We start from the raw sequence: 15,212 nt of genomic DNA on the forward strand, positions 1-15,212 counted from the left end.
ATTTATTTGTTTTACTTTATAAAGTGTTAGATGAATTTTCTTCCTGCAGCAGCTCTGCCTCCTTTTCATGCTTTGCCAAATCTAATGTTATACTTCTTGTTTTCTTGCGCACATATCAGTGGCAGGGGCTCTGGGCAGTGGTGGCAAACCAGCTAAATATTCCAAGTCCCCCGAAAGCACACGGTGGACAATAGACATGCCAGCCAGCCTTGTGGGGAGCGGGAGCGTTCTGCATGCCAGTCATATCAGGTCTTCAAACCACGGCCTTCTCACTCCACTCCTTTTAACAACCGTATTCTCCACTCCTTAGGTCTCTTTACTTGTCTTTTTATTTCCTTACTTGTTTTCTGGCAGCTTCATTTTCAGCCTTGCTATGGGAAGGCGTGGACGTTCTCCCTGCTTTCTTCCTCATTCCTCCCTGCTGATTAACTTCCCAGCCATCCTCCATGAATTGCCATCATCCTCACAATTCGGTCTAAAGGTGAATATTTTCAGACATCAGCAATGATCACTGTATTCCTGCTGTCTGGTTTAGATTATTTATTGGTTGGGAATATAGGGATTTTCCCCCATTTACCAGTGGTAAAAGTTAAATTTTAAAAATCAAAATTTAGTATTCCAAGAAAATAATCATGGATATAAGCAAAGGCTACCAAGTTGTTCATCATAACATTGTCTCCTACAATAGCAATGATAATAATAATAATTAGAAAGGAACCAAATATCCATCTACAGATTAATTAAATTAAGATATATTATTGCAATAAAAGATTAAAAGCCATACAAATGGTACTGTAGAACAATATTTGATGATGCGGAGAGTTGTTTATGACAGATTATTGGTGAGAAAAAGTTAAAACCAATCTGTATAAGATGGTCCCATTTTTGTAAATGAACCAAAGCTATTCATCTATATTCACAGAAAGAAAAGAAAATACCCCACTGTGGATGAGAAATAACAAATGTTAACAGGATCAGCTCTGATTGCAAGGGACTCATTCGATTTTATTTTATTTTTCCTGGTCTACATTTTCTGCAATACTTGTGTATAAGTTTTGCAATAAGAAACAAATGATGGCTCTCAAATTTTTCAAATTAAAATTTTCAACAAATGGAGACATAGTCTTACTAGGGACCCAAAGGGGCACAGACAGGTGAGCAAATGCTCATTTTGAATCAACAATGTGCTACCAGTAAGCTCCATGGTGAGGGCCCGACCTTTTCACATGGATGCATAGTTTGGGCTTCATCTGAATTAGACTGCAATTAACCACAAAGAGGCCCCTTCATAAATTAGACACAAGTTTAAAGAATAGATGCTCGATAATGGACTGAATGCTTAACTTCCTTGTCACTGGGAAAACTTGTTCCTGAATGGTGGCTGCATTGGTCCACTAGGGCTGCCATAACACAGTGCCACAGCCTGGGAGGCTTCAGTAACAGACATTGATTGTCTCCCAGTGCTGGAGGCTGGAAGTCCAAGATCAAGGAGTCTGCAGGGTTGGTCTCTTCCGAGGCCTCACTCCTTGGCTCACAGATGGCCGCCTTCTCGCTGTGTCCTCACATGGCTTTTCCCCTGTGCACAGTCCCCTGGGGTCTCCGTGTAATCCCTTTTTTTTTTTTTTTTTTGAGACAGAGTCTCACTCTGTTGCCCAGGCTGGAGTGCAGTGGTGTGATCTTGGCTCACTGCAACCTCTGCCTCCTGGGTTCCAGTGATTCTTCTGCTCAGGCTCCTAAGTAGCTGGGATTACAGGCGCATGCCACCACGCCCAGCTGATTTTTGTATTTTTAGTAGAGTCGGGGTTTCACTCTGTTGGCCAGGCTGGTCTCCAACTCCTCACCTCAAGTGATCCACCCGCCTTGGCCTCCCAAAGTGCTGGGATTACAGGTGTGAGCCACCGTGCCCGGCCCTAATCTCTTCTTATAAAGACACCAGTCAGGCCGGGTGCAGCTGCACGCCTGTAATCCCAGCACTTTGGGAGGCCAAGGCGGGTGGATCACTTGAGGTGAGGAGTTGGAGACCAGCCTGGCCAACACAGTGAAACCCCGACTCTACTAAAAATACAAAAATCAGCTGGGCGTGGTCGGTGCGCCTGTAGTCCCAGCTACTGCCTCCAGCTGAGGCAGGAGAATCGCTTGAACCCGGGAAGCGGAGGTTGCAGTGAGCCAAGATCATGCCCCTGCACTCCAGCCTGGGCAACAAAGAGCGGAACTCCATCTCAAAAAAAAAAAAAAAGAAAAAAAAGACACCCGTCAGATTGGACCAGGGCCAAACCACCGTCACCACCTCATTTTAATTTAGTGACCACTTCTAAGGCCTTACCTGCAAATACAGTCACATTCTGAGGAGCTAGGGGTTAGGGCTTCAACACATGAAGCTTTGGGGGACACAGTCCAGCCCATCAGAGTGGCTTCCTTGTTTTCTGAGTGAGAAGAACCTCAGACAAACAGGAAGGGGAAATGCTGCCTGACTTAGACCATCACATTTACCTGACACTGTTTGCAGTTTCCCCTCTGTCCACCAGGAGGCAAACTTCTAAAGTGCTTATTTGAAAATTCTTGGTCCCTGGGGCTGTTTTTATGAGCCTTGATTTTTAACCCTTTATAGCCTAAGCAGTTTCACTAAATAAACAATTGTTGGAAATAGAGAACACTGTGCTGTTCAGTAACATCACTTATTATCAGCTCAAGTCTCAACAGGTCATTCTTCCCTTTCTTTGAAAGTTCAGGCTCATAGACTAATAGTTTTCCATTACTGGATTTGAATATCTCAACAACTTCAAAGTCAGTTGTATGAAAAAAGCAAGTCTTTGCTCCTATTTTTTTTTATCATAACTCATACAAGTTTAGTTTCATTACATCTTCTAAGTACCTTATGAGATAGTTAAAGAGGTATCATGCAAGAGTGGAGAGAAAATGAATTTTGAAGTCAGAGGGCTTGAATTTATTTATTCAATCATTCATCCAATCAACAAACATTTGTTGTTGCCAACCAGGGAATGAGCTGGGTGCTGGATTCAAGTCCTCATTCTGCCACTTGGCAGATATTGCTACCATGAGCACGTGAAACTCTCATATTTCTGCTTCCTTGTTTGTAAAAGGGGAATAAAGCTGAACTTAAAGGACCGTTTTAGGACTTGATGTGGTCAGGTGCTCGGAAAGGTTTGGAAAACTTCAGTGTGCAAAGCCTGTCCATCGTTACATATGTGCCGTGGTTAGCCTCCACTTTGGAGAGCAGTTTAAGTGCCATGTCCAGGGCCTGCCTGCTTCTGAACCTCTGTACTATGTATACGGGTGGGCAGGGTGGGAGCAGGAGGTAACTTATCTCAAATATTCTAATTGATCATCTCTGGGGTAGTGTCCGGGAACACCCACCTGCTAATACGTTCACCAGAGCACCACAGCTTCATCCAGGGCGGCACTCCTCACCGCAGCACTGCTGATATTGGGGCTTGACGGTTCTTGGTTGTAGGGCCACCCTGTGCATTGCAGGGTGCTGACAGGCATCCCTAGCCCCCACCCAGTAGATGCCGGCTGCACACCTCCCCACTTAGCGAGAACAAACATGTCTCTAGACATTGTCAAATATCTCTTGGGGGACAAAATCGCTCCCAGCTTGAGGACTACTGAGCTACATAGATTAGATTGGTCACATTGTTGCCATCAAGCAGACCCACAATTCCAACCCTGTACCCTCTCCTGGGTCCAGCACCCTCAGTCCAGCCCTCCTGACTGGTCTACACTGTCTGCACCCTCATTTTTAACCCATTAGAAACTCACTTAGCTTTACTTAGAAAAACTAAAATCAGCAACTTTCTATGTAAACTAATAAAATATTTTCAATTAGTGCAGAAAACGAAGGCTCTTAAGGCTGGGGTCATTGCAAATAAGATGCCAATACTTTAGAAGGCAGCAGTGAGAGTTCCTGGAGTCTCCTCAGGCTGAGATCACTGTGGTGAAGGGTCCCTAGCAGGCCTCAGCAGGGCTCAGGTCCCTGGCTGTCCACCTCACCTCAGGCAGCTGGTCTGTGTTCTCTCTGCTCCTTCTCAAGTGCTGGTGAGGTCTGAGGGTCTGGGCCTTCGAAAAGTGCTGCTTTTCCTGAGTCTGGCTCAAGCCTCAGAGCTTGCAAAACCCATACTGGGAGTGAGAGCCTCTCCCCTCCCGTGACACCCTCTGCTCCCTCCCACTGGGGCACAGTATGGATGATCACACGTGGGTTTCTGCACGCTCCTCCTTCATTGGGTGAATACCATGTACCAGTCATGCTTGACATAGATGAGCCCCGTGAACAGGTGTGCGTCCCCTCAGAGGGGGGTGTCATGATGAATTCTGGTTTATGAATGAGGAGCAGGCGTTCAGGCACCTGTGCCCGTGGTCACAGGTGAGTCCCGATCTGCCTCTGGACTCATTGCTTCAGCATCTCTGCACCCACTGGGCAGTTAATGACACCTGCCTGGTCAGCCACCTTGTGTGATCTACCTGATCCAATGACAGGCTCCATAGGGCAGGAGCCATGGTCTAGAAGGCCGCGAGTATCTGCCAAGGCACTGATGATGTATGTAGCCCCGTGGATTGACTTAGTGGTTTCTCTCCTCTCTGCTGGGAAGGTATGTACTTTGCCTCTTGAAAAATCATCAGGGGGCCGGGTGTGGTGGCTCACGCCTGTAATCCCAGCACTTTGGGAGGCCAAGGCGGGCAGATCACGAAGTCAGGAGATGGAGACCATCCTGGCTAACATGGTGAAACCCCGTCTCTACTAAAAATACAAAAAATTAGCCAGGCATGGTTGCAGGCACCTGTAGTCCCAGCTACTCCAGAGGCAGAGGCAGGAGAATGGCGTGAACCTGGGAGGTGGAGCTTGCAGTGAGCCGTGATCGCGCCACTGTACTCCAGCCTGGGCAGCAGAGTGAGACTCCGGCTCAAAAAAAAAAAAAAAAAGAAAAAAAGAAAAAAAGAAAAATCATCAGGGAACTAGGGACTTAGTGTCTTTGTGCCTGCTCATGGAAAGGGCTGTTATTAATGTCACAATCATGCAGTCACATCTATGGAGATGACCCTTCTCCTGGGAAAGCCATGGAAGTCTTTGTTTGTCAGGAACCTGTGTGGCTTTCTTACTGTTTAGTGGACAAAATGGAAGCAGCACTTAAAATCTCATGCTGGAGATTTCATCCCTCTATTGTTTGGGATACAGAGAGTCTGTGTAACACACACATATCAAGAGGGAAGCTGGGCACCAGTCAGAATTGACGACGGGCCAGAAATCAGCAGGCTGAAGAGAAAACAAATATGGCTTCAATGAAAAACAGAAAGAACTGAGAATCAGATGCGAAAGCGCTGAAACCAGCACAGTGTGCGGTACTGTGGCGGCTAAAGGGGATGGGAAACGGGTCACAGGCCTCAGGGTTTCCCCCTGTACAATGGACACACTGCTATTGCCAACTGAGTGAGCTAGCTTTTGTAAGTAGCTTGAAATATTCATACCTAAACGTTATTTCTGTCCTCTGTCATCTGTCTTTTCGCTGTTACTCTTTTCTGGAGCCCAAAAGGGCCTTTTACCTTGTTTGTGCCCCAAAACGAGGAGTGTGCAGAAACCCACATGTGATCATCCATCCTGTGCCACAGTGGGAGGGAGCAGGGGATGTCACGGGAGGGGGAGAGGCTCTCACTCCCAGCATGAGTCTCACGCGCTCTGAGGCTTGAGCCAGACTCAGGAAAGGCAGCACTTTTCAAAGGCCAGGGCCCTCAGACCTCACCAGCACTTCAGAAGGAACAGAGAGAACAGGGACCGGCTGCCCGAGGCAAGGTGGACAGTCGGCGACCTGGGCCCTGCCGAGGCCTGCTAGGGACCCTTCACCACAGTGACCTCTGCCTGAGGAGACTCCAGGAACCCCCACTGCTGGCTTCTAAAGTATTGGCATCTTATTTGCAGTGACCTTCCATGTGTGTTGCCTGCCCGGGTTAATAGCCTTAAGAGCCTTCGTTTTCTGCACTGTTTAAAAATATTTTATTAGTTTACATAGAAAGTTGCTTACTTTACTCAGCTTTCTAATTCTTTAAGATCTGAGGCCTCTAGTTTACAACTTGATCCATTTTTAACCACCTTAATTTCCTTCCTGTTGTTGTCTAGAATTTTTCCCTTAACGTTTTGTCTTCTATCTTTAAAATTTTCCTCATTCCTTTTAGTGTGACTTATAAATCATTTTAGTTTCCTGAAGCTGACACCCTTTTATCATCCACATCTTAATTTTTACTTACCTGAATACATTTATTCGTAAAAACAAATTACTACCCTTTTATATCTCCTTCTCACATTTTGTTCGTCTTAATCTCTTTACTTGTTGCTGTTCCTTTTAGTTTCTTAGTTGGGTTAATATCTGCTTTCTTTTTTGGCTCTGGCTTGTAAGAGACAGGCAAGATGTGTGTGTCCCAGACGAGAGGATGGGGAGGGAGTGCAGGCTGGGAGTGCGGGCCAGGGACAGGGATCTCTAGCTGCAGCCAACTGTGCTCTGGCTCTGCTTTACACAGCTTCCATCCTCTTAGCCACAATCTTAATCTATGAGGACCGAGGTGCTGGTGCTCCTCCCCAGCGTGGTGACTATTAACCAGGGCAGGCGGCACACTTGAATTCATTCATTTAACAGATACCTGGTGCCACTGTGGGAACAAGGTGCCTCCCTCCCTGGCTTGTTCTGGTGGTGGCCAGACAAAAGCAAGCTTCCAGAGGTGATGGGAACCAGAAAGGACATTTAATAAAATTTAATAAAACATGAGACACAGGCCAAAGAGAGATGAAGTGAATAGCAGGAGGTTAGTGGACTTAGCAGAGAAGGTGGCAGAGCCCTGATCCTGATTTCTCTCTGTCTAAAGATAGGCAGAGTCCCTTCTGCATCAGCTGATGATGCCTGGGGACAGAGAACCAGGGAAGGTCTGAGGCAGGAGGCCTCAAGGACTTTGCAAGGAGCTTTGCTCTTTGTGCTTCTATGATGAACACTCATAACCATTTATTTCCCTTTGCTCTTCTGTTGTTTGTCTGTTTGGATCCATGGGACTTCTGGAAATAAAAATTGTTGGAAAATTCCATTTAGAAAGAATGACCAGAATGGTGTTGATGTGCCACTTGTATACTAACCACTTCCCCTTGTCAGGCACGAAAACATGAAAATCACATACAAACAAGCACAAGAAAGGGTCTATGCCACCTGGAGTGATCGGACAGTGGGGAGGCCGTGGACGGCCCCTGCTTCCTCAGGATGAGAGGTGGGCCACATTCTGCCCTCTCCTCTCATGCGGAGGTCAGTGCAGCGATCCTGCAAGAACAGGAAGGGACACGAGACCACACGAGGTTGGAGCAGCCATAAAGCAGAAAACCTCTCTCTCTTTGTGAGCACGTGTTGTAGGGTGGTTAGCCTAGAGAGGTAAGCCCCAAGAGTGTCATAACTATTCAGCAAGCTTCGTGGAACGGTGAGCATCCTTGGCCATCCCAGGAGTCTCCCTCCACCTGCAGGACCTCTGGCGCCTTAGCTGGGCAGGAATGTGTTTCCGGAAGTCCACCTTCAGATCCTTGGTTGGAGCTACAAAGCCAAGCAAGGGTCTGTCTACACGATGGCCCCAATGGGCAAACAAGGCAAGATGTCCCCCAAGTGGGCAAGGCCTGCCACAACCTGGGAAGCCAGCCAGCCGCTGGAATCTAGCCCGATCCCCTTCTTCAGCAAAAAAGTCAGACAAGGCTGGCCAGGCCAGCAGGCGACTCCAGGCGTGGGCTGGGAGGGAACAGGCTTGTCAGAGGGGGAAGGTCAGAAGACAAGCAGGGAGCAGTGATGACAGGCCCCCGTAAACCGCACAGGTGGCCCAGCTCCTTCCAGGGCCCAGGACAGAACTGATGAGGGCGACGCTCCACCCGGACCTCCATGCAGTGCCTCTGGTTTGACTTTAGGAAGAGAACGAGGGCTAAGTCTCCTGTGAGGTCTCCAGGGAAGGAGGCCATATAGAGGATGCAGAGGCAGGGCCCTGAGACCTTTTCTGAAGGGACCCTGCCTCCTCTCCCTCCTTGCAAGGCCACTAGAGGGTTCTCATGGGGTGGGGTCTTCTGCAGAGGATGGGGGAGAAGTCAGGTGGGACTCTCCCTCTTGCTTCAGCATTCACACAAATACTGGACCCCGTGGCTGGCCCCTCTGGAATGCTCAGCGCCTTGGAGAAAGGGGCGCCTGCGGCATCTTCCCGTCCTAAGTCTCACCTCCTCTGGCAAGGGTGTCACACTTCCAGTGGCCTCCCAATCGCCTTTTCTCAATTGGTCCCATTACATCCACATTTAGCTTAAGCGAATTCAACTGTAGGTGCTCAAAGAAAACTTTAAACGAAAAACAATGTAAATAAAGTGTGTGATTCTGCCAGCCCTTCCCCGCAATAAGCATATGCCCCAGAGAGCGGATCTGCCAACGTTTGCATCCAATTCTGAGCCTCTCCGAGGTGCGAGCATCTCGCACACCAGTGTTTAGAGTGACAATACATCTTTTTCATACAACATGACCTCGAAATGCAAGCCAAGCCGATTGCTTCCTCTGGTGCTCAGCCACAGAGACGGCCATCTGTCCCAATGCTGCAGGAAAACTGGCTGCGTTGTGTTTACTAGAGGCTGTGTTTCAGACACCAGCCTCTGATCTCCCTGGAGAATTCTTTTCTCCCAAGGTAATTTTGGTTAGACTTGATTTTCTCCTTAATGTTGACTTGAGAATCTACCTAACTGCTGTCTGAAATGCAACTCCACTCTGGCTCTTTTCCTACTAAGCTGCGAGCTCCTTGAAAGGTGGGCCATGTCTGCTTCATGTTTCCAATCCCAGCACATGCCTGGCACACAGTAGACATGGTGCCATGGAGGAATGAAGAGGCCAGAGCCTCCCTGAGGATAGGTTCCTGGCCATTCTCACTCATTTCCCTAAGGGTGGGCAGATTGAGATCTCCGAGGATGATTTGATTCCATTTCAGATCGGGATGAAGATGATGCAGCTCCTATCTATCTCTGCTGTTTTCGCCCACGATACCTTCTCATCTTTCTTTGGAGGGTCCCTGACAATTTTCTTCTGGTGGCCACTGCTGAGCAGCTGACACACACAGGGACTGCTCCATGCTGTCAACTCTTGCTTTTCGTAAGAACTTCTCCCTGGCACATAATAGGTAAGTGCTCAATAAACACACATTGAATGTTGAGTGAACAAATGAATAGAGAAATACCTAGTCTACCAGGTAACTACTCCTTAAGCTCTTTCCCTTTGATTTTCAGGCTCTTGCTAATATACAGCCCACTCTTCCCAGGAACAGCCTTTAGTAGAGTTTCCTAAGCACAGTGTGTGAATGTTACTTCTGAATTTATTCCTTCATCTCCTGATTTGGGTTCCTCCCAGCAGGGCGAATGGTAACCCTTAGATGGCTACAATGATGACACTGTGTTTGCCTCTATTCTATACATCCCATGATGGAAATAATTGTCTCTGTAAATCTGAACACCATGGACCACGATGGCCTCTCCTCCAATTGATCTGGACCGGAGGGCTTTTTGTCCAAAGCTCTGTCTCCTGGAGATTGTTATGTTAATTTCAATAGAAACCGCTTCATCGGCATCAGGTTCAATTTCATGTGACTCAGCTGGCCACCCTTTAGTTCCCTAAACTTGGATGCCATTGGAATCACATGGGGAGACCTAACTAGGTCTCGTTCCTGAGACCTAACCTAAGAGATCCTGCTTCGATTGGTCTGTGGTAGGGCCCAGGCTTTGGTGTATTGTAAGAGCGCCCCAGGAAATTCTAACAGGTGTCCAGGTTCAAAGAACCATTTCACCTAATCACTTCTCTCTGCCACTCTCTGGAAGATTGGATCACACCTTTCTTCCCTACCTTCCCTTTCCAAATGCTAACTCCCCAAGAGAGGATTGCCCCATCCTCCCAGCACCACGTGGACACACCAGCACTTGTACCCAAGTGCTCTGTCCTGGATCCCACCTCAATGCCAGCTTAAGCCTAAGTGGGGCTTCTCTCCCACTCTTGATCACTGTCTCTTGCCTGCACCATTCATTTCTCCTTCTGTACTGAATCCCTCTCCAACAGTGCAATAGGACCTCCTGTTTAAAATACTACGTCCTGCCGAGCACAGTGGCTCACACCTGTAATCCCAGCACTTTGGAGGCCGAGGCAAGTGGATCACTTGAGGTCAGGAATTTGAGACCAGCCTGGCCAACATGGTGAAACCCTGTCTGTACTAAAAATACAAAAATTAGCTAGCTGGGTGTGGTGGCACATGCCTGTAGTCCCAGCTACTCAGGAGGCTGAAGCAGAAGAATCCCTTGAACCCAGGAGGTGGAGGTTGGAGCGAGCCGAGATCGCGCCATTGCACTCCAGCCTGGGTGACAGAACGAGACTCTGTCTCAAACAAAAACAAAAAAACCCCACTATGTCCTAGTCACCACCTCCCTCCAGCCATGCCCCGACTCTCTGCTCCCTTCCATGCCAGTCTCCTCTCTTCTAGGCAGCTGGCTGCACTCTCACTGTCCACATCCTTGTCTGCCCTTCTGTTTGTCAGCTTTTCATCTCAGTATTGCTCTTGTCAAGGTCACCAGCCCTGACCTCTATCTAGCCACATCCAACGGTCACTTCTCACCTGCATCTCATAGACCACTGGTGCTGTTTATTCTCTTGGCTTTCAGGTTCCACACTCTCATCTCTCATTTGCCTCATTGGATACTGGTCTTAGGCTCTTTTGCTGGATCCTCCTTCTCTTCTTAACCTCTAAACATTTGAAAGCCCTAGGCTCAGTCTTGGCTGTGTTCCCTGCTCTCCTCTACCTGCACATGCGTTAGAAGTGCTCCTGCCCAGCCCCAGAGGTTCAACACCGTCTATTTCTGAGCTATACAGTATGGCAGCTGCCAGCCACACGTGGCTACTGAGCACTTGAAATGAGGCTGGTCCAACTGAGATGTGCTGTCACTGTGAAAACACACCCAATGGTGACAACTTAATATGGGAAGATAATGTAAAATAGTAATGTTTTTGTATTAATTACATGCTGAAGTGATAACATTTTCGGCTAAGTAGAATATGTTAAAATTGATGTCTTTCGATTCTTTCTACTTTTTTAAAACAGGGCTGCTGGAAATTTTTAGATTATCTCTAGTCTATACGGTGATGACGCCTACATTTTCTAACTCTAGCCTCTGGTCTCTAGGTTTTAGAATGTTGTACTAATCAGGGTTCTCCAGAGAAACAGAACTAATAGTGTGTGTGCATGTACGTGTGTGTGCGTCCGTGTGTGTGTGTGTGTGTGTGTGTGTGTGTAGAGGTTTATTCTAGGTAATTGGTCCATGTGATTATAGGGGTTGGCACATCTGAAATTTGAAGGGCAGGCTGGCAGCCTGCAGACTCAGGAAAGAGGTGATGTTGCTGGAGTCTGGAGGGAGACTGCTGGCAGAATTCCTTCTTCCATGGGAGACCTCGGTCATTTTCTCTTAAGGCCTTCAACTAATCTGATCGGATAAGGCCCATTCGTTTTACAGAGGATCATCTAATTTACTCAAAATCTATTGACTTAAATGTTTATCTCATCTTTAAACAATTACCTTCACAGCCACATCCAGATTGGTGTTTGACCAAATATCTGGGCACCGTAACCCAGCCAGGTTGACATGTAAAATTCACACAGGTTCACTTGAGTGTCTAATGGCCACTGCAAACTTCACATGTTCCAAACAGAACTCTCTTGCTGTTGCCCCCACAATGGCTCCTCCCCACCTTGGTACGTAATACCCTCATTCACCGAGTTGCTCAGTCCAAGCCCTGGGATCCCCCTGACCACTTTCTTCCTTCATCTCTCATATCCTGTCTGTATTAGGGTTCTCTAGAGGGACAGGACTAATAGGATAGATGTATATATGAAGGAGGGGTTATTAAGGAGTGTTGACTCACATGATCACAAGGTGAGGTCCCACAATAGGCCATCTGCAAGCTGAGGAGCAAGGAAGCCAGTCTGAGTCCCAAAACCTAAAAAGTAGAGAAGCTGACAGTGCAGCCTTCAGTCTGTGGCCAAAGGCCTGAGAGTCCCTGACAAACCACTGGTGTGAGTCCAAGAGTCCAAAAACCGAAGAACCTGGAGTCCAATGTTCAAGGGCAGGAAGCATCCAGCACAGGAGAAAGATGAAGTCAGGAAGACTCAGCCAGTCTACTCCTTCCACACTTTTCTGCCTGCTTTCATTCTAGCCGCACCGGCAGCTGATTAGGTAGTGCCGATGCAGATTGAGGGTGGGTCTGCTTCTCCCAGTCCACTGACTCAAATGTTAATCTCCTTTGGCAACACCTCACAGACACACCCAGGAACAATACTTTGCATCCTTCAATCCAATCAAGTTGACACTCAATACTAACCATTACACCATCCATCAGCAGGTTCTGCCTGCGCTACTCTCAGCTTAGATTCTGACTCGGACAATGGCACATGGTCCAAGCCGCCATCCTCTCTCACCTATCTGTAATAGTGCTTCCAACTGCCTCCCCGCTTTCCCCTCCATTTGCAGACACATCTCCACACAGCAGCTGGAATCACCTTTTTAAAACACCAACCTTACCATGTAACTCTTTATCTCAAAATCTTAACGGCTTGCTATCACACTGAGAATAAAATCAGAAATCTTGACCAAGGCCCACAGCATGCAAAGACCAGCCCTTGCATTGCCAGTTTCTCTGATCTCATGGCCTAACTCACTCACTCAGATCCAGCCACGCCAGCCTTCTTGAAGTTCCTTGGATGTGTCATTCCCATCTCCAGGCCTTTGTGCCTGTGGCTCACTTACTTGGAGCACTCTTTTTAAAAAATTTTTAATTATTATGGGTACATAATAGGGGTATACACTGACGGGGTCCATGCAATGTTGTGATACAGGCATGTGATGGGTAATAACCACAACAGGGCATTTGGGGTGTCCATCACCTCATACATTTATCATTTCATTGTGTAAGGACAATCCAATTCCACTCTTTCAGTTATTTTTATTGGGTTTTTTTGTTTTGTTTTGTTTTTGAGATGAGATCTCACTCTGTCACCTAGGCTGGAGTGCAGTGGTACAATCTCAAGTCACTGCAACCTCTGCCTCCAGAGCTCAAACGATCCTCGTACGTTAGCCTCCTGAGTAGCTGGAACCACAGACATGTGCCACCATGCCTGGCTAATTTTTGCATTTTTATAGTGATGGGGTTTCATCATGTTGCCCAGACTGGTCTCAAACTCCTGGACTCAAGCAATCTGCACGCCTCGGCCTCCCAAAATGTTTGTATTATAGGCGTGAGCCACTGTGCTGGGCCTTTTAGTTATTTTTAGATATGTAATAAATTATTGTTAACTATAGACATGCTGTTGTGATATAAAATATAGATCTTATTCATTCTAACTGTATTTTTGCACCCATTAACCATCACTCATATGTGGGAACTAAACATGGCAACAATTGAACTCGTGGAGATGGAGAGTAGACTCATGGTCACCAGAGGTGGGGAAGGGCAATAGGGAGGTGGGAGCACCCTCTCCCCACCATCTTACGTTCATTCCCTCCCTTCCTGTCCTGCTGTACCTGGCTTGGCATCTTGGCGCCTTCCATGAGGGACCACCTCCCTTGAGCCTACACATTGCTTCTTGCAGGTCAGCAGGGTGCTGATTTGACTGTGGAAGCCCTTCTCCAGGCCATGCTCTGTCTCTCCAAGGAGAAAATGCAGAGGTGAGTTTGCTCATCACATACTGCTGGGACCGCTGAGCTCCATCCAGGCCACACTCAAACTCTCTCATCAGTAAAGTGACAGTAACAAGAGCTTCCATCTCATAGGTTTGTTTGAGGATTGCATGATAATCTTTGCAAAGTGCTGGTATGTAGTAAATATTCAACAAATGCCAGCTAAGATATTGCTGACCTTATTAGTCACACAGTTAAGGAACTAAGCACCATGTAACGAGAGAGTGGCAGCCTATAATCCGGGTTTGTGATTGTACCAACTTGCCACTGAATAAGAGGCTAAGGGATAGAGTTATTTATATTTGCAGGAAGGGTGTGTGATCCAGGTTTTAAGAGAGAATCAAGTCTCACACTGGATACAGAGTTAGCAACGGCTACGAAGAGAGGGTTTGATATTTTTTCCCTTTACTCTGTGTTGGCTTTATTGGGTCTTCCTTTTTTCCAACTCAGCATGTTTGGCCCTCTGGTCCCAGCAAGTGGCATACTGATTTTAAGGTGAAATTTGTTATCCTGGCAAATTAAGAGTACATTGGGAGAATGAGCTTCTCACTGAAACTGGCACATAAAATGAGAACTGCAGCCCCAAATCAATGAAAAGATAGAAGGAAGCAACACGCTGCTTTAAATGAGTTTTGGTCTCTAGACGTAGAGGGACTGTAATCGCAGACTGCTAATGGGATTTGCAAATGTCGTCTCAGAACCACTATCTGCAATCCTCAAGAAACGTGACATGGGAGGAGTGCCAAAGGACTGGAGATGGATAATATGAGAGGAATTTTCCAAATGTGGAAGCAATAAGAATATATTGAACACTAGATTGAATTTCACTCAATCTTTCTCTGATGATTCAGAGAACAATTAGAATTATGCATTGCTTCAAGGTCATTGCACCAAATGAAGCTTATTGCGTACTGTAAATGGGCAGATGTTCACATTAATGCACAAACTGTTAACAGTTAACAGCTTTCTGGGCAACAGGGCTTGATTTGTTAATAATCTCTGCCAGTTACTGGGCACCCCATGTGCCAGGAGCAATAAGTGTTTTCCTTACGTTTGCTTCTTTCATCCTTTCTGCCACCCTGGGAGGTTGCATTTTGAGGGCATTGAAACTTAGAGAGAAGGAATCGCTTCCTTCTCCACAGCTATACAGGTGACATGATAAGAGGCAAGACAGCAGCACAAATGTTAACTTAATTTAAAGGTAATTGATCTTAACCTCTACTCTGTGCTGCCTAGAAACATCCAGACTGCATTCCATGAGCGAGAGGCCAAAGAGAAGCCAGGAAAGGAGACAGAAAATAAGCAATCATGAGAACAGGCTCCTGAGAACAGCAATCATGAGGCTCCTGAGACATTCCTCACACATTTCACCTCTAGGGCACATTTCCCATGTTTTTTCCTGCAGGATAAACACAGTTTTACATGAAAATGGCATGAGCTACTTTAAGTCAAG

The 15,212-nt window shown here is 46.9% G+C and overlaps 1 annotated feature.

The window, feature by feature from the left end:
* Positions 5,258–5,769: an enhancer, noted in NCBI's record as "H3K4me1 hESC enhancer chr13:27059649-27060160 (GRCh37/hg19 assembly coordinates)". NCBI's record gives its function as "activates a minimal SCP1, AML or CMV promoter by ChIP-STARR-seq in primed H9 embryonic stem cells {active_cell/tissue: H9 hESC(primed)}" and the evidence as "EXISTENCE:reporter gene assay evidence [ECO:0000049][PMID:30033119]".

The sequence above is a fragment of the Homo sapiens genome, chromosome 13, assembly GCF_000001405.40.
Source record: "Homo sapiens chromosome 13, GRCh38.p14 Primary Assembly".
Lineage (NCBI taxonomy): Eukaryota > Metazoa > Chordata > Mammalia > Primates > Hominidae > Homo > Homo sapiens.